The 20,751-nt window shown below is 44.1% G+C and overlaps 1 long non-coding RNA gene across 1 annotated transcript in view; it reads left to right on the top strand.

The window, feature by feature from the left end:
* LOC105370982 (uncharacterized) overlaps positions 1 to 20,751 on the top strand; it is a 171,228-nt gene that overhangs the window by 143,113 nt on the left and 7,364 nt on the right. Inside the window, exon 6 of the long non-coding RNA XR_007064770.1 lies at positions 17,935 to 18,010. This is a non-coding gene — a long non-coding RNA (uncharacterized LOC105370982). The remainder of the gene's footprint in view (positions 1 to 17,934; positions 18,011 to 20,751) is intronic.

The following is a 20,751-nucleotide window of genomic DNA, read 5'->3' on the forward strand; positions in this document are numbered from 1 at the left end:
CTGAACTGGTCCACAGGAGAGAGCCAACTTTCGAATTTACTCTTTTAGCACCAACTTTAATGAACGGGCTTTTAAGGGTTAGTGCCTTTGAGGGAGGAGTGCCACAGGTATCTATACGAAGGATGTGGATGTGGCAAGGGAATTGCCTTGGGCGTGTAGGATACACACAGGCTCACGTGGTAGAACAGTACTCGCTTCCAAGATGGCAGCTTGGGCTCTGTATTAACTCTGATGGCATGTTGACAACAGGTCCTCATTCACTTCAGTGGGGCAAAAACAAGGGGCTCGGTTCCTAAAGTTACATAAAAACAAGAGCAGTGATACGGTGCAGTGAGTCTGCATTAGTTTGCTAGGGCTGCCATAACAAAATACCACGGACCGAGTGGCCTAACCAACAGAAGTTTATTTTCTCACGATTCTCGAGGCTGGGAGTCCAAGATGGGGGTGCGGGTGGGTCTGATTTCTCCTGAGGCCTCTCTCCTTGGTTTGCAGATGACCACCTTCTCACCGCATCTGCACACGGATTCTTCTCTGTGCACACACATTCCTGGTTGTCTGTTCCTCTTCTATAAGGACACAAGTCCCGTTGGATTATGAGTTGCACCCTTATGAGCTCATTTAAGCTTAATTGTGTCTTTAAAGACCTTGTCTCTAAATGCAGTCACTTTGGAGATTAGAGCTTCAACATATGAATCTTGCAAGGACACAATTCAGCCCATAACAGATTCTCAAAAGATTGTCTGCACAAAGGTTTCTCCAGTATGTGATAAGATTTTCTGTAGTTCATGACAAAATGAGCAGAATAGGTACCTGGCCCTTTCCTCAGTTGAGCTTAACTAACCCTAACCTCTCCCTACACTTCCATTTCTAATGACATACTTCCTCTAATAGATTTCTTTCTGCCAAAATTCAAATGTCCTGCACACACCAAGATTCAAATAGTCTATGTCTGCCAAACTCTTGTCATGCCTTCCTCATCCCTGCTCTCACACAGTGTAGGTAGGGAGAGAGCAAACACACATGCACAGACACATACACATGCACACATGCATGCACATACAGTATGCATGTACACATACGCACACGTACGCACATGCACACACACACACTCCTTTCTCAGTAAGGGCAGTGACTTAGTTACCTCTTTTGGTGCCAACGCGTCTTTCTTTGAATGCTGGTGACAGTGGATGGCAGTGTCCGATTGTACATGAGGCTTCTCCCTAAGTGCTTTTAATGAGGCACCCAGAGGCTTCAGAGAAAAGAGGACTTTTTTAGGGTTCAGTGAGGCAGAGACATGGGGTTGGCATCACTACCAAGCTTCAGCCATCAGAAGGAAGCCAACCTACGGTACCTGGCCTGAAGACTCTCATTTGGATTTGCCTAGGGTCCAGCACCCCCCAGGACCCATGGCTTGGTCTTCCAGAGACAAAAGGCTGTGAGTAAAGACTGATACAGCTGTTTTCGCTAAAAAACTCAATAAGCTTTGGAGCACAATTGTGTTGTTTTGATATGTTTCCAGCAGCATTTTGCATGAAAAGAAGAGGGGACAATTTCTTTTACTTAGCCAACCAGGTGAAGGAGTTCAGTAGAGACGGTTCCACCCAGTGCAATTGGCAGTGATGGCTGGTAGGCCTGGTGGTCCCCAGCAGGGAATGCATCCACTATGGTGATGCAGGAAGCACTAGTACTGGGCAGGAGTGGTTCATCTGTGGTCAGTGGGTGCAGGGCAAGATCCAAGGGAAGTGGCCTGGCTTGCAGTGTTGGCTGCCCTTGGACACTCCTGAAGAGGTAAGGACGTTGTCAGCCACGTGCTTTATTAGGGGAGGATACATGATAGGTTTCTTGGGCCTCCCTAAAACAGTTGGGTCAAGCTGGGAGTCCCCAGCATATCACGTTTGAGTAGGAAAAAATAGCTAAATATGGCCTGTTATTTTTGACATGTGCATATTTTATATGCAGGGCTTGTGTGGTCTTTGGAAAGTGATAGGTACAAAAGAATCACTTTCTCTCATCATCACTAATCTGGGGTTCATGGAGGAGGTGAGATTTCAGGAGGTTTTTGGATGATGGCAAAGCTGTATGGGCTAGCAGAAGAAAGGCATTCGGGACTCCAAGCGTGTTCTAGAGAGTGCAACCTTTTTCAGCCACACCTCTGCAGTCTCAAGCTCTGTGGTGATCCTGACTGCATTTCTCTGTATTGTTCATTTTGGAGTCCCTTAGAGATGATTCAGTTAAAACGAGGACATCCTGTGTTCATCCTTGGTCTTTGGGGATTTGGTGGGTCAACAGGTAGAAGTTGTCACTCTTCTATTTCCCAGTGCTTGGGATAGCGAATCACGAATATATTCACTCCTTCCGTGCCCTTTCCTGGGAAGCCATGGAGTTTCACACTAATAGCAGCTGCTGTCTGTCATTTCACCGTCACGTGGACAGTATCTTTAATTGAGACAGCTACCCAGTTGTCTTTTAGAATGAGGTTGAAGTCAAAGATTTCTGACTGTTTCTCTATTAAGAACCATTTCATTCAAGATTATTTGCCTGTTGGTCCTGTGTTTAGAAACACTTTTGTTCGCTAAACACAGCAGTTGGCTAAGTAATCATTACTTTCCTTTTTATTTAGTAAATGATGCGCTTATTCTCTGCAAGGCTCTGGTCTTTGTGATTTTGCCAGTGATCTCAGGTTGTGTCAATTCTGTGCTGGACCAAGGCAGAGAAATGTGATGATTCAGCCAGCCTGGGCCATCCCCTATGAGCCGGTGCATGGGTTTTATTAGCGTTTTTGGAATGCTGAAAGGACTTACGAGCATTGTCTTCCCTTTAAGGAGCTCTGAGGCCTTAGACCCACAGAATGGGAACCATTCCTTGAATGTTTTTGAAGTTGTTCTGCTGTGTGGTCTGAGTGAGGGAGAGGACAAAGAATAGAGAAGCATCTGTGTATCCCTTTTGGGGCCTGCCATGGTGGAGTACCTTCGTGGCATACTCGTGGCATCGCCAAAATATTTGGGGGCTTGGTTGGCACGCCTGCCGATCTTGGCCTTGAACCCACTTACAGTGCATGAGGGTACAGTGGCTGCTCCTTGTGTACAGACACGGGTCACTCTGTCCCTTCTCTACCAGGGACACTGTGAGCCGGGTGAGGGGCGAGGCAGATGGAGGAGGGAAAGAAGCAAAGTCAGGCGGGAGAGGCAGCAAGACAGGGCATGTGAGGAGCAAAGCCCCGAGCGGGTGCCAGGGAGAAAGAAGAAAGACTTTCATGCTGACATTGTTTTCAAATAATTGCAGTTACTGAGAAAGAAACCACAGCTGATGACAGCAAATTATTGAGCCGCTGAGATTCAGAAATGCGTGTAATGAGCGAAGAAAGCTGTGTGAGTCCACACCAGAGAGAGGGAGAGACAGAGAAAGGAGAGAAAGAAGTGGGGAGGGAGGGAGGAGAGAAGAGAGGGAGGGAGCGAGAGAGAGAGAGAGAGAGAGAGAGAGAATTCCAGTGGGGGAGGTACTTGCTACTGAAGTGTTCATCTTCCCTTGTGTTAGACCAGAGTGCTTATACCTTTTCTTTGCTTTTCTCTTCTACTTTTGGGAAAACAAATGTTATATAAACGCCGGGCAAAGGGATGATTCATAACCCAGGTGGGTTGGAGCAGGACAGCAAGAGATTTCATCGCACTACTCAGAACAGCATACAATTTAAAACTTAGGAATTATTTTTTTCCTGAAATTTTTCAGTTAATATTTTTGGATTGCGGTTGACCGCAGGTGACTCAAACTACAGAAAGTGAAACCGTGTATAATGAAAAGATGGAGGACTACTATATATCTATAGATCTATATCTATAGCTATACCTATGTATCTATCTATCTACACAATTACAGGACAAAATACATGGCTTGTGTTTCATGGTTTACACAGGTGATTTATTGCAGCTGTGACAATTCCAGTACATGTCCCGCAGTTGTGAAATTCCTGTTGTTTGCCTCCATGGCGGTTGGGAGGTGGGAGCACGTGTCCTCCCCAGCCTTGTTCCATGCCCCGCTCATTGCTTCTGTTTGTGGAAGAGCAGGGTGGCTTGTCAGGAACAAGCAGCTCCACTTCCTGGGTCACATGCTACACAGCCAATGACTCTCATACAGCAGGTGCCCTGATCGCTCGCTAGAGAGCTGCTGGATCCCCAATCTACTCCTTCTCTCAGGGCAGTGGCTAGCGCAGGGAATGCCTGGTCGGAAACAAACTGGAGAGAATGCAGAGTGGAGTGAGGAGCCCACCGATGCTTTCCTCCAGGCCCTGGAGAGCCTGGGGTCTGAAGAAGAGCACAGAGGCCCACGTGTGGTACCATAAAATTCTAGGAACGCTCCATCTGCACTGCAGGCCTGAGAATACCCAGTGTGACAGCGCTGAAAACATTCCTGGTTTACGCTTCTTAATACCAGTCTGTAAAAATAACAGTCCAACTGCATGAGATCATGGGGAGTTTGTGTGGGGCCGTATGCTGTGGGCCGAGTCTGTGCTGACTGACATTTGGAGGCTTGCACTCTGGGGCTTGTTGGTTTGGGAAGGGGAAGGAATCAGAGGGTAGGAGTGGAACTAGGGAGTAGGAGTAGAAGAAAGAGAATGAGAAAAAGGATGAATAAGCCTATCTTAGCAGGAGATGTCCATCAGTTAAGGAGTAACAGGGAAGGGTGGATAACATTACCATTTATTGGGCATCTACCATGTAGCAGATAATGTTTATATTTTTTCTTATTTTATCCTCTCTACAATTAACTAGCATTTTAAGCCCGGTTTTTCTCCAGTAGAGAAAACCATGTCATAGATATAGTAAGTAATTTGACTGAAGGCTGTTAAGGAGGTAGAGACAATATTCAGCCTGAGGTTTTTCCCACCCCAGAGCCTTGGTGATTGTCATTATGCTGCAGGATTTTCACGTTAGGAAGAAGTCAGTTTCATCACGAGTGCACATCTCCAGCTGGAATTTATGTTGCTGTGCGGAGCTGCTTTAGCTGATTTTATTTGACTGAACTCAGCGGTTGTTTTAGGAGCCCTGGGATGAAGCTTTGCTCTCTCCTTTCCAGGCACGAGTGATTTGGGATGAGCCATATGCACAAACGTGATGGCTGTTGGGTCAGGTTGTTAGGGATGAGTGACCAGTGACCAGTGGTCAATTTCTTAGAAAACACTCTCAGCCTCTTAGAAAACACCCCTGAGGAGGGGGTAATCCAGATTCAACTCTGAGGGACAGAAATGTCCCCACCATTCCCCAGGTTCACCATAGGAAGAAGGACCACTAGTATCATTTGTGGGGGCACCCCTTCACTTGGGCAAAATTCAAAGTAATTTAAAAACTTGATTCAGTTGCACCTCTGCTTTTCAATAAGAATATAGAAGCTACGGACTATCTTCTATTTCTCAGATGTTTGAGATGCGTGGTATATTTTAATTTTCACAACCCCACTGGGAAGGTGGAATTAACTCTGTTTTATGGAGGAAGAAACAGAGGCTCAGAGAGGATATTAGCTGCCCAGAACAAAACTATGATTCAGTTGTTGTTTTGAGGTTTAGACTCATTCATTCAGTCTGATTTTAGAGCTTTTTTTTCCCACTAATGTCTAGCGCATTTCCAGAGGGACCAGGGAGGCTCCTGTCTCATTAGGCACACTGGGTATGCTCTGGTTAAAACAGGACCCAAGGTGGTATTTATTACCAACTTAATAAATTATGTTGAGAATTTATTTAAAAGCCCTGTATAATCCAGCTGTTGAATGATACTGTTCCTTAAATGGAAAACAAAGATCTTTTCTCTCTCCATAGAAAGTGGCTCACATTTTTGCAAACAAAATTACATGTTTTATAACAGCTTTCTTGAGAGAATTCACACACCATTCAATTTACCCATTGAAAGTGTAAAATTCAATGTTTTTTACCGCATTCATAAGGGTGTGCAACCCTCACCACCGCTAATGAATATTTTCATTTCTGCAACAAAATTACATTTTTAATCAGTTAAAATAAATTAACATTACATAAAACCGAGAAAAAGAGGAGGATCTTTCCCGATTCTACTGGCTCCATTTAACGTTTATCATTATTGCCGCACTTTCCAGTCTTTATTTACCAGAGATGCAGTCAGCTAGTTCCAATCATCTGTGCGTATTGTTTTATGTCTGCTTTTTTAAGTTGACATTTTCCATATTGTTACTTTGCATTTTTAATGGCCCATAATATTCTCTCACATTGATGTGCGATAATTTACGAACCCACCACCTTTTGCTCAACCATTAGGGTTTTTTCTCTATCATAAATAATGTTGCAGTGAACATCTTTGCACACGAAGCTTATTTCCCCTGTTGAATATATTTCACTGGGCTGTAGTCCCAAGAGTCGGCTTGCTGGGTTAAAGGGTATGAATGTTTTATATCCTCCTCTCCCCTCCCCCATGTTTATTTCCAGAGAGGTGATACAATTTCAAAAAAAAAAGATATAGCATACATATATATATTATATATAAAAAGTCATTTAATGTTACCAAGGTTTTGGGTTCATTATGTAAATCAGAGACAGGCAAAATCTGTGAGGTCAAACGTCACGCATTTCTTGAGAGCCAGGAACGATTGTCCTTTATGTGTCCCACCTGGTGACTTAAATAAGTTTACCATTTTCCTTAGAAAATTATTCCCATGGAAAATGATTCCCTCAACCTCCTGACCTTTTGTTGGTTGCTGTCAGCCTGGGGCAACACTTTGTTTCCAGCTGTTCTTAAAAGCCACTTCTTTAGCATTTAACCCTTTGAAGGCCCACAGGGGGTGAAGAGGGGGTGGGTGGTTAGGAGGGTGAACGGGGCAGAGAGGGCTAGGAGGAGGGAGGGGGAGAATCCTTGTACATTTGCACCACTATGCCCCCTGGTTAGAGTGTGCTGTGGCATCCTGCTACAAAAGCCAAACTTGCCAGGAGATACACGTGGTGGCTGGAAAAACGAGAATATCCTCAACTTGCTCTGTTGCAAACAGCAACAATTCAGGAAGCTCTGATGACGTTATGTGCACCTGAGAGCAGCTGTTAGTAGCCAGAGTGATGCTGAACGACTGAGAGAGACAGAGGCTTTTTAGGGCTCAGGTGTATTCACCCCATGCCTCACCTTCCCAGAAACATGTTGTGAACTTCAGGATTTGTGGTGTGCTTAGACGTCACCAAAATCCCTACTGGATTCATAAAATTCTGTATCAGTTAAGATGCTTTTGGCTAGAAGCTGTAGAAAATCCAAATCAAACTGGCTTAAAAGATAACAAGAGTTTTCATGTTGTTGAAAAGTCCAGAGGCAGGGTTGACACTTAGCAAAGCTTGATCCGGAAGCTCAGGATGACGATGAATAGTTTTCTTTCTTTCCCCTCCGCTTTCCGTCGTGTCAGCTACATCCAAGGCTGGCTCCCCATGTCGTCACAAGACAGTTGCCAGTTGGGGGGGAATGTGTGCTTTCTCCTTCATGTCCAGCAGGAGACAGGGGTTTTTCTTTCTCTCAGCCATGGAGCGTAAGTGCTAGAATTCACTGCACCTGGACAAACTTAGGTCAAATGCCTGTTTCTGAACGAATTTTTTTTTTGTGTGTGATGATGATCTTTCTTACACATTTTTTAAATACCAGAAGTAATTAAATATGTTCATATAAGTAATTTAGAAAGTAAATCGTGTTTATATTTATTTGAGATAGATGTGATATTTGTATTTATTTGAGATAGATGTGATTATTTTATATATGCATACACACAGTGAACCAATTTTTTTTTTTTTTTTTTTTTGAGATGGAGTCTTGCTCTGTCACCCAGGCTGGAGTGCAATGGCGCGATCTCAGTTTACTGCAAGCTCTGCCTCCTGGGTTCCTGCCATTCTCCTGCCTCGGCCTCCGTAGTAGCTGGGACGACAGGTGCCCGCCACCATGCCTGGCTAATTTTTTGTATTTTTAGTAGAGACAGTGTTTCATCATGTTAGCCAGGATGGTCTTGCTCTCCTGACCTCACGATTCACCTGCCTCGGCCTCCCAAAGTGCTGGGATTACAGGTGTGAGCCATCGTGCCCGGCCCACTGAACCAATTTTTGTGTTGAGAGGGTGAGGCTACTGATAGGTGAATCATGATTTAGACCAAACAGGGCCCACTCCTGGAGCTGGGGCTGGGATCAGTCCCATTCAAACTGTGAGGCTTCACCATTGGGAAGGCAGCTAACAGCACCTCCTATAATTCCTGTGGCAACCTCCCGGAGAAGGAATCACCCCATCTTTCCTTGAACTGCTTAAGTGACAAATTTACGTGATAAATCATTCTTTTTCCCCAGAATACAGTCAGCCCTCCCTATCTGTGGGTTCCGCATCCACAGATTCAAACAACAATAAAAATAATAAAAATACAGTATAACAACAATTTACATAGCATTTGTATTCTGTAAGGTATTATAAGTAATACAGACCGGGCACGGTGGCTCACGCCTGTAATCCCAGCACTTTGGGAGGCCGAGGTGGGCGGATCACGAGGTCAGGAGTTTGAGACCAGCCTGGCCAATATGGTGAAACCCCGTCTCTACTAAAAATACAAAAATTAGCTGGGCGTTGTGGCGGGCGCCTGTAGTCCCAGCTACTCAGGAGGCTGAGGCTGAAGAATCGCTTGAACCCAGAAGGTGGAGGTTGCAGTGAGCCAAGATTGTGCCACTGCACTCCAGCCACAGAGACAGAGCAAGACTCCGTCTCGAAAAAAAAAGTAATCTAGAGATAATTTTAAGTATATGGGAGGATGTGCATAGGTCATATGCAAATACTACACCATTTTACATAAGAAACTTGAATATTATAAATTTTGGTATGAGGGGGACCATCCTGGAACAAACCCCCTGCGGATACCAAGGGACGACTGTATGTGTATATTTGGAGCATGTGCGCCTGATTCCTGAAAGATACATAAGGAAAAATGGATTCTACAGACGCAAATTTTTCTAATGAGACAGAATTGATTGATCAACAAATATGGCTGAGAAACATGAAGAGGATTATTGGGATATTGAATGACAAGCATGAACTGATGGGCTTCCCAGTAGCTTGTGAAAACTAGAAGCCTGGCTTTCAGGGTGACTGCTGTGTGTGTGTCTCCCATTGGGTTAGCCGGCCCTTCATGCCCTCTCCAGAGCCACTGTGAGGGAGTTGGAGGAGCAGGAGACGGGAGTAGGTGACACTGGGTTCCAGAAGCCTCCAAAGGAGCTGTTCTGCAGAAAGGACCTGGTTCAGGGCCTGCCCCAAGAACGTCCATCACTCCCTTGTTTTCTAGACTTTCTTCCACTGTCAGAGGCCTTTGAACCAGAGCAATGCCATCTTGAATAGGAGCTGGGTAAAATAAGGCTGAGACCTACTGGGTTGCATTCCCAGATGGGTAAGGCATTCTAAGTTACAGGATGAGATAGAAGGTCAGCACAAAATACAGGTCATAAAGACCTTGCTGATGAAACAGCTTGCAGTAAAGAAGCCAGCCAAAACCTGCCAAAACCAAGATGGCAACGGGAGTGACCTCTGGTCATCCTCACCGCTACACTCCTATCAGCGCAAGGACAGTTTACAAATGCCAGGGCAAGTCAGGAAGTTACCCTATATGGTCTAAAAAGGGGAGGCATGAATATGAATAATCCACCCTTGTTTAGCATATAATCAAGAAATAACCGTAAAAAACGGGCTGCTCCGTCTGCCAAGTAGCCATTCTTTTACTTCTTTACTTTCCTAATAAACTTGTTTCACTTCATTGTATGGACTTGCCCTAAATTCTTTCTTGCACAAGATTCAAGAACCCTCTCTGGGGGTCTGGATCAGGACCCCTTTTCCTGTAACACTACCACCCGATTAGGCATGTCCTGGGTGCTACATGAGGTGCGTTTGTCACAATAGCTGTTCAATTCTCTTCTGGACTAAAAAGGACATTTGAAGTTGGGCCGGAGCAGAAGTGCTCAGGCTTGACCAGGTGTGGACTGCATATGGCAGGCACAGGGACAGCTGAAAGGCAGTGTCCAGGGGAAGCCAGGATGGGGAGCCCAGGAGACAGCTGGGAGTGGGGATCAGCTGAAGGGCTGGATATGGAGGTGGCAGTTGGGTGGATGAACCTGGAGATACAGTAGTAAGTGGACTTGAGGAAAGTTCTAGAACAACTCCCAGAGCTGCAGGGGCACTGTGCAGGGTGTCTGCAGCCTGAACATGGAGTCCTTCTGAATGGAAGCTGCCCTTTGCTGCTCTGGGAGCCTTTGATTATGCCCAGAAGAACAGGAGGCTTTGGAAGCCTGCAGAGTAGGAAACTGGCTTCCCTACCCACCCTCTTGCCAGTAGGCTGCATGATCCTGGGAAGACGCTTCCCCTTTCCAATCCCAATTTTGTTCATTTGTTGGGATCCATTAACTGAGTGAGAGAGTCGGTGGTTGATTTCTGAGGTCTGCTTGAAAATTCTGCAAGCTGGAGGCTTCTCCTAAGGAGTTAATTGTTAATTCAAGTGTAAACTGAGGATGGCGTTAAGTGTGACCTCCTCCTGGGTTATTTGCATTTTATAATGCACTCCTAGGAGACCAAAATTCCTAGAAGATCCTAAAAGAATAGTGGTTTGGGTGTGTGGGGGTGGGGGGGAGAAAGAGAGGAGTGAAAGGGAGAGAGAGAGAGCACGAGTTCTTTGTTTAACACACTTTAAATCGACAGAGCAAGACTCTGTTTCAAAAAAAAAACCCAAAAAACCCACTTTAAATCTGAAATCTATCCCTACTATATGGAAAGGTGAAGATTTTCTGAATCATCTGGGATGCTCAGACCCTAGTAATACTCATGGTGGGATGTGCAGGAACTATTTTGAGTATTTTATTTAGCTACAGTAGTTCTGTATGAACTAACTGAAATGCCAGACGTCGAGTCAGTGTGATTTTTCACTTGATATTTGTTTGGAATTCTGGGGGTGGAAAGCAATAGATGGTGCAATAGATTAGGTAACACTAGGCTCTTTAGTAATAAGAGGTCACCTCTCTGGCTAGATTTGGCTTTGGTTCTCTCATTTCCCATCTATTATCCTTGCAACAGGGTCCAACCAGTGCTCTCCAGAACATACGCTCCTTGGGGCTGAGACTTGTCTGGAGCTGTCATCTAGAGCCTGGAAGATAAGAGGTGCTCAATAATTGTGGCTGAAGTTTGCCATTATCAGCTCTGTCTTGTAGATAAGACAACTGGGACTCTGAGAAGTTCACCTGGCTGGACAGTGGCCAGTTCAGGTGGCTCCTGGGAGTGTTGGTCAGAAAGCTCAGGTTTCTCTCTGGCCTCCCAGGCAGGTGGTCTCGTAGTCTCAGGACAGGCTGAGTTTGCCCTTGGCTGCAGAGTTAGGGGCCTGAATAGGGGCGTTACTTTTCCTTCAGCTCTCAGGCTGCAGTCTGGCTGCCTGGCTGTCCAGTATTCTGGTCAGAGTCTGCTGGAATTGGTAGCCTTTTAGGAGAAAGTTTGTGAGACTGAAAGCAAACTACCTGCCTCTCATCCCAGCACCTCCCACCCTGCTTTCTCAGAAGTGAATAAATTGAGCTTGGCACTTCAAAGAAAACCACCGACAGTATGTGTTGGCAATGATAACATTCAAGCTTTAAAGCAAAAATTAGGATTTTGGGAAACATATTCATTATCATGAGCTTGACAGGTTCCCAGCACTTAAAGACATTTCTGATGAGATTGGTAGTGATACCAACAAATGTGATTTTTTTGATATTGTATAATGAAATATGTTAACATTTGGGTGACTTGTGTAACTGTGAACTAATATTTCCCAAATGACTAATGAATGATTCTACAAAATCATGCATGGGTAAAAGATCTATTCAAACTGGATGGTGGATTTTTAGGGAACAGTGAAAAGCTCTTCAATATAATTTTGGATTCCACATTGCAAATAACCTTTAAAAATTACCACTTACTGAGTTTTGGTGTAGTAGCAAAGAATATATCAAATTATCTGCAATTATTAAATAACTCTTCCATCTCCCAACTAAGTATCTTCATTTACTTCAACCAAAATAATATATTTCAACAGAACACAGAAGCAGATGCAAGAATTCAACTGTCTTAAGCCAAACATTCAAAAGAGTTGAAAAACTGAAAAATATTGCTTCTTTCTCATTAAGTTTTTGGAAATTATAATTTTTTTATAAAAAATGTTATTTGTGTTAACATGTAACGAGTTTAAAATTGTTACCTTTAGGCTGGGGGCGCGGTGGCTCACGCCTGTAATCCCAGCACTTTGGGAGGCCGAGGCAGGTGAATCATGAGGTCAGGAGATCAAGAGCATCCTGGCTAACACAGTGAAACCCCATCTCTACTAAAAATACAAAAAAATTAGGTGGGTGTGGTGGCGGGCACCTGTAGTCCCAGCTACTCAGGAGGCTGAGGCAGGAGAATGGTGTGAACCCAGGAGGCAGAGCTTGCAGTGAGCCGAGATGGCGCCACTGCCCTCTAGCCTGGGCGACAGAGTGAGACTCCGTCTCAAAACAAAACAAAACAAACAAAAACTTTCTCAGTTTTGTTTTCTAACATGGAAAATATTGGATATAATAAATGTAAGCAAAAGCTCTTTAGGATTCTAAGTTATTTTTAAGAGTATAAACAGTGCCCCACCCCCTGCCAAAAACTTTTGAATTGCTGATCTAAAATATACAAAGAACTCGTACAAAGCAACAAGAATAAGACAGCATCCCAACAGAAAAAAAAATGAGCAAAGGTTGCAAACAGGTAATTTACGAAAAGAATAAACAGGCATACAAAGAAAGAGTTGTTCAGATTATTAATCAGAGTGCAGATAAAAATGTGACACGTTACCTTATACCTACTAGGCTGGCAAAACGTAGAAAGCCAAATAATGACAAGTATGGTTGGGGTTTGAGGACAGAAAAACCCTCATGTACAGTTGGTAGGAGTGAGAAAAGTATAGTAGTGATTCTGAAAGCATTCTAATAGTAGTTATTTCAGTTAAATATGCACAGGCTTTTTTTTGTTTTTGTTTTTGTTTTTTTTGAGATGGAGTTTTGCTCTTGTTGCCCAGGCTGGAGTGCAATGGCACAATCTTGGCTCGCTGCAACCTCCGCCTCCTGGGTTCAAGAGATTCTCCTGCCTCAGCCTCCTGAGCAGGCATGCGCCACCACGCCCGGCTAATTTTGTATTTTTAGTAGAGACGGGGTTTCTCCACGTTGGTCAGGCTGGTCTCAAACTCCTGACCTCAGGTGATCTGCCCACCTCGGCCTCCCAAAGTGCTGGGATTACAGGTGTGAGCCACTGCGCCCGGCCTTGCATAGTTCTTACGACTTAGCAATTCCATGTTTGGGTATATGAACAAAATAAATTGTCATGCACAAGTCATTTGGTGTGTGTACAGATGTTTATTCTCCCTGCTTGCAGGGACAGGGATCTGAAGCCTCCTGGGAGCCCATCACTAGTGAGTGGATTGGGAACACGTAAATGAATGCTACCAGAGGTACCCACACCATGGATATATCCCAAAGAAAGTGCTACAAGAAATGAAAGAAACAAGCAGAAGCAATCTACAGCATGATATTGTTTATGTAAATTAAAATTACAGTCATACAAAGCAATTCATGTTTTGCAAGAATACAAATTATAGAATTTACATTGCATTGGTTTCCTAGGGCTGTTAGGAACTACCACTAATTGGGTGGCTTAAAACAAAATAAATTATTCTCTCATAGTTCTGGAGGCCTGAAGTCCAAAACTGAGGTGTCGACATGGTTGGTTCCTTCTGGGCCTCCGAGGAAGAATCTGTTCAATGCCTGTCTCGTAGCTTCTGATGGTGCTGGCAATTCTTGGTCTTCCTTGGCTTGTAGATGCATCACTCCCGTCTCTGCTTCTGTCTTCCTTCTCTGTGTGCCCATGCCTCTCTTTGCATTTACATTTCTGTCTTCTTATAGGGACACCAGTCACATTGGATTTAAGGCCTGCCCTACTCTAGCGTGACTTGACTTCAACTTGATTATATCTGCAAAGACTCTATTTCTCTGTTTCACAGGCTCTGGGTAGACATGAATTTTGGGGGAACACAATTCAGCTGGATACATAGAGCAAACATACGAGAATGGCTGGCCACATGGGGGAGGGAATGGGAATGTGAGATGGGATACACAGGCATAAACAAACAATGGCCAAGCAAGAGGTGGGCCTGGACAGAGCCGGCAGTGGTGTGTACACACTAAGAGCCACACAAGGAAACTTCTCCGTATCCATTTTGGCTCTAGATTCAGGAAAACAGAAGCAAGAAAATCAAAACAAAAAACAGTAATAAAAACAACAAAACCTCACCTGGCTCTTTTTTTTTTTTTTTTTTTTTTTTTTGGCGTTGTGGCACATGCCTGTAGTCCCAGCTACTCGGGAGGTTGAGACAGGAGAATTGCTTGAACCCAGGAGGCAGAGGTTGCAGTGAGTCGAGATCACGCCATTGCCCTCCAACTTGGGCAACAGAGCAAGACTCTGTCTCAAAAAAAAAAAAAAAAGAAAAAAAGAAAAGTCTCCTGAGGATTCTGACCCACAATCTGACTTTCACATGCGTTTGAGGATAGAATTTACACTACCCAAGAATTCCAAAAGATCCCAAGCAAAAACTGAGTTAAAAGGAGTAATGATTTGGCAATGCCTTCTGCCATTTTGCCAAAGTAATTACAAATCCTCTTTGAAGAAAAAATAACCTCTTAACTCAGGCTTCAAAGAACTTCTACAGCCCAAGTTCCTCAAAAGTCAAGAGAGGTAAAACAGAACTTAGAACTTCACACAAGTAGAGGAAGAATATGGAATAAGACAATCAAGGAAGGCAAACAGAGAAAAAGTAATATAAAAAAAGCAACTTATAGAAAGCACAAAGACTAAAATGGACTCAAATATATCGGCATTCAAAATAAATATAAGTGATTTAAACTTGCCAGTTGAGACAGGTTGTCAGAACAGATGAAAAAGAAACAGAACCCAGTAACATGCTTTTTACTTGAAACATGAGGACCCAGAAAGTTTTAAAACATATAAATGGAAAAAAGTTTTTAGCATGTAGACCGTGAGTGCTCATTTGTGAAGCTTTATTAATTTCAGGCAAAATATGCTTTAGGGCAAAAAAGTCTTACCAGAGTAAATGCAGAATATAAGATGGATTCAAATGAAAATGGATTAATGCTATTCATTAATTGCATTAATTAAATTTATTGCAATATTTGTAGAAAAGTTATTCAATATAATTTGGCATTTATTCATGAGTATTCTTAATAAACTAGAAGAGAGCTTTCTTAATCTGATGAAGGCACTTCTCAAAATAATCTACAACTAATCTCATACTTAATGATAAGCTATTAGAGACAATTTATTTTTATTTTTATTTTTTTGAGAAAGAGTCTGGCTCTGTTGCCCAGGCTGGAGTGCGGTGGCACAATCTTGACTCACTGCAACCTCCGCCTCCTGGGTTCAAGTGATTCTCCTGCCTTAGGCTCCCGAGTAGCTGGGATTACAGGCACCTGCCACCACGCCTGGCTAATTTTTGTGTTTTTAGTAAAGATGTGGCTTCACCGTGTTGGCCAGGCTGGTCTCGAACTCCTGACCTCAGGTGATCCTCCTGCCTCGGCCTCCCAAAGCGCCGGGGATAACAGGCGTGAGACACCACGCCCAGCCCAAGACAATTTAGGAACAAGACAATCATTCCTGCTCTAGCTGCGTCTTTTAAACTTTGTACAGTAATGCTAGATAAAGTAGCAAATTAAAGTAGTATAAGGATTGTCATCATTTGGACATGAATATACAGAAAACCTCAAAGATCTATAGGCAAATTTTAAGATTAATAATTTATACTGATATAAAATGAATACACAAAACAAAATTGCATTTCTAGGCCAGCATTTGAATATGTGATTTCAAAAGACATAATTTAAAATAACAAATACAAGTAAAGTGCTTTGGAAATCTAAAATGTTCAAGACTTTTACAGATAGAACATATTCAACTTTATTTAGGTCTTTAAAAAACTTAAAAGAAGCACAACGTTTATAGATATGATGTCTGGATGTCATAAAGGGATTAACATTCTCCAAACTGATTTATAGAAATTCCAATTGGACTCTCCTTTAGATGACCACAGACTGGTTCTGAAATTTCTATGGAAGATCAAGGGGCCGAGTATACCCAGGGCATTCCTGAAGAAGAAAACCCAGGAGGATGTTTGCCTGATACAAAGATTTAACATGAAGCTACAGTTATTAATTAATATATCGAGAGTCCTCTTGGGCAGGACCTTCCACCAGGTCTTCCCTGAAAAAGCCGCTTACCTTTCCCTGACCACCTGCGGCAGCAACTTGCTTTCAATGCTCTGCCAGCAGGCAGGGAGCATCATCTACAGCTGCTCGCCCTTGGCTGTTCCCAGGTGGGAGTAAGATGCCAATCCAATCCCATGGATGCTGCGACCCTCAAATGCTGTGTTAATACTTTTGATGTTGCTTCACCGGCTCGAGGTGAAGGGACAGACACCGCAGTCCCCCCTCCTATGGAGATGGGTGGGAACCTCTACAGCCAGCTCCGTGCCTCCAGGGAAGTTGATGGTGACCAGTCCATGTGGGCAGAAGCTGCTTGGTGGCCCCTGGAAGGAGAACCTACCATGTGATTTAATGGGGGCACATGGCACCTACTGTTGTCCCCAGCCTCTGGGACTGCTGCCAGAAAAAACTGAAATGCTGAGACAAAGGCTCACGTTTAATATCCTGCTGCGGTGATTTCTAAAATAGGGTTGTGACAAATGGGACCCGATCAGTTCTCACGGACTCTGTGCCCATCTGTTTTGGTTTCCTTTGTGTGTTTGCTCAGTCAGAACAAGTATTTATCAGCTGAGGTGATGAAAGGCATTGAAGCATGGAATTATCGGTGTGTGCTGGGCTCCTCTTCACATGAGGGTGATTTGTCCCTACGTCAAAAGAAGAGGTGTTGGGGCAGAGGGCTTAAAATCTGACGGACATTGATTGGAACTTTGGCTCTAAGTAACTCTGTGGTGGAACCCGTGTTGCTTTCCTTCTCGGAGCCTCAGTTTCATTGTAAAAGGAGGAGGAGGGTGCCTCCAGGCTGGGATGTGTCCACAGCAGAGGGCCCAGGTTGTTGCTCAATACACGATCGTCCCTTCCCTCCTCAAAGCCTTGAATAGAGCAAGCAGGTGTCTGTGTAACCACATTTTTCTTCTATACCTTAGAGACTCCAAATAAATAGCATCAGATAATAATCATGTTAACAGGAGGCCTATTACCCCATTAAAGTTGTAAAGCGAGTTTCTCCCATCGTTTTAGACCATGTCCGCCCACACACACACATTCTGTGGCGTGAAATCCCGATGCCTCCACCTTCCCCTTCCCTGTTTGTGGGCTGTTTCTCTTGGCAGCAGCCTGGAATCCAGGCCTTCTATGGCTGAAGTGATTGCTACCCCTTTCTGTGTGTGAGAGCAAGAGAAGCGGGTGGAGGGAAGGGACAGGAGCTCGGGAAGAGGTGATTAACACATATCCCCCTGGCGGGTCATGCTGCTTTCATGGGCATCCTAATCCCGTTTCCTCTCCTAAGCAGAAGGCACTGGGATTGATTTAACAGATTTTTTGTTGTTACTGTTATTTAGGGCTCTCTTTTGGTGGGTATGATACCATAATATCTTGGGGGTATTTAAGCCTTAAGCAGCACCTACCTGATCACCCTTGCTTGACCCCCTTCCCAGTCTCAGACATTTCTCATAATCAGTCACCTTGGTTGGAACTCAGGCTGGTGTCTCCGGATTCAGACCTTTGATCTCGCTGTGTAAGGGATGGAGGGCTTGGTGGTGGTGAGGCAGGGAGTGGCAATTGGAGTCGAAGGTGTCCCTGAGATTCTGATCCCATTTTTCCTTTCCTCTTCCACTTAGGAACATCTGTCCAGTCCCTGGGATGGTGAGGCTATAACCACAAAGGAATAAGAGAAGACGACTAGTTTTGTAATGGGTAAATGATATTTATTTTTATTTTTTAAATTAATTTTTTTACTTCAGTACGTTTTTGGGGAACAGGTGGTATTTGGTTACATGAATAAGTTATTTAGCAGTGATGTCTGAGATTTTGATGTACCCGCCCATCACCCAAGCAGTGTACACAGTACCCAATGTGTAGTCTTTTATCCCTCACCACCCCCCGACCCTTCCTTTGAGTCCCCAGAGTCTAATGTGTCATTCTTACTCCTTTGGGTCCTCATAGATTAGCTCTGACATATAAGTGAGAACACACGATGTTTGGTTTTCCATTCCTGGTTCTATCACTTAGAATAATGGTCTCCAATTCCATCCAGGTTGCTGTGAATGCCATTATTTGAAATTTGTCTGGTAGGCTGGGAGGTAAAGTAGTGTGGCAAGGCAGAGAGTGAGGAACAGGCTCGCAGCATGCTCCTGACCCAGCATGTTCCCAAAGGTGGCAGTTGTCAGTTACATTCCCACGTTGGCCAGGGTTCAAGGGCCCAGAGCAGGGTACTTTTAAGAGAGGCTGGTATTAATATTTGACCAGAAGTTGTCTGTGGTATAAACAGTGCCTTCATCCCAACTTCATTCTTCAATTACCTTTTTAAAAATTGTATTATTTATTTAGAGACGGGCTTATAAGACTGGCTCATTTTTGTATTTTTGGTAGAGCTGGGGTTTTTCCATGTTGCCCAGGCTGGTCTAGAACTCCTGGCCTCCCAGAGCGCTGGGATTACAGGAGTGAATAACTGCACTCTGCCTTTAATTACCTTTCTTCCACGCACAGAGGCTTTGGATGAGGTTGTATGCATGTGTGTAAACTAGAGAAAGATTTCAAGCAAATACATAATACAGGAATGTTGTAACCCAACAGGCGCTTTCCATTCATTCATTCATTCATTCATAAAGCCTCATCAAACATTTATTATGCGTTCCAGGATACAGTGGCAAAAATAATGAACACATCTGTTACCTGGGGCTTACTTGTCATTATTGGACATTAATCAAATAATTGCACAGATAAACATATAATTTCATAGTGTGCTCAGTGCCGTGAAGGAGAGCACAGTGACATGAAAGAGGATATTATAGGGGATGAGGGGCTTTCCTGAGAAAGTGACATCTGAGCCAGGAATTGAAAGATGAGTAGAGGATAAGGAGGCAGAGGCAGGATGGGGTTGGGGGCTGAGACTGGGGTAGGAAAAAGCCAGTCCAGATGATAGAATGGTAGAATGAAATGTTTTAGGGCATCCTAGTGGAGGTGAGTGGAGTTTTGGGGGGCACTGCCGCAAACCCCCTGTGTATCATAGATGTCAAGAATATGAGGATAGGCAGGTTCCCCTAGATCCAGTACTTCCAGCAAATGACCGTCTAATTGGTAGCTAGGCTTATGGAAAGAACCCTCCTTTCCAATTGTTTTTATACTTCTTTGTTCTGCGGACAAAAGCATTTTTGATGTTATGTGAAAATGTGGGTTTCAAGTGTGGCGATTTCATGAAAGTATAGGTTGACTTGCTCTGCCTGGAATAATGATTGGAAGAATGGCAAGTGGGGTCAGGAAGGAGGTTGAGGAGTGAAGATGGAGGGATCAGGAATGGAAAGAAGAGAGGATACTCCCTAAGCAAGGCTGGGATTTTTGCGGGAGGCGGGGGCGTTAAGCAAAGCTAGGTATGAAATCTGAGGCATGAGCCACCATCGTGATTGCAGTGGAATGAGGTTGCTCCCGTGACCAGTCAGGAAGGATCACATCGCCCCAAGGCTGGGGATGAGGGGAACAGGGAGCCTCTCCAGTTTGGAAGTTAAACATCACAATTCACTACTGTGACTAAGCTACGCATCAATTTGCTGGATATGGCTTCTGCCTCAGATTCTTCAAGCCCCACACAGGCTGCTGGTTTCTCCAGTCTTCCAAGCTGACCCTGAGTGTTACAATTCAGACAACTCAACATGGAAAGAACATACCTGAGGCTGAGGGGCTCGGCTACTCTCCCATAACGGCGAAAGGGAATTCTGGGAAAGCACTGGGCTTGGGGTCAGAGGGCGTGCACTCACCGCCACTACTAATTTATTGACCTCACAAAAACATTTACTGATTATAATGATAACCATAATGTTTATAGTTTACATAGGATTAAATTATGAACTTTTACATGCCAGGAATTGCATGAAGTGTGTTACCTCCAACAGGGTTCAAATATTCCCATTTCACTCATGGGAAAGAACATTACTAAGTGCAATGTGTTGAATAGTGTCCCCAGAAAGATCTGTCCAAGTCTTAAACCCTAGTTCCTGTGAGTGTGGCTTTATTTGGAAATAGGGTCTTTATACGTATAATTAAGTTGAGAATCTCCAGATGAAGTCCTCCTGGATTTAGGGTGGGCTTTTCTTTACAGGGAAGGAGAGGGAGGTCTGACACAAAGACACGCAGAGAAGGCAGCCATGTGAAGACAAGGCAAAGATTGGAGTTCCTTAGCAAGAAACCAAGGAACACCCACGGTTGGCAGAAGCCACCAAAACCCAGGAGAGAGGCGTGGGAGAGACTCTCCTGTAGAGCCTCCAGTGGGAACCAACCCTGCCGCACCTTGACTTCAGACTTCTGGTCTCCAGAATTGTGACGGAATAAATTTCTGTTGTTTTGAGCCACATAGATTGTGGTAATATGTTATAGTAGTCCTAGGAAGCTCATACACTTTCTCAAGGACATCTAGACAGTAAAAAGTAAGCCAGGATTTAAAC

Source organism: Homo sapiens, chromosome 15 (assembly GCF_000001405.40).
Source record: "Homo sapiens chromosome 15, GRCh38.p14 Primary Assembly".
NCBI classification, from domain to species: domain Eukaryota; kingdom Metazoa; phylum Chordata; class Mammalia; order Primates; family Hominidae; genus Homo; species Homo sapiens.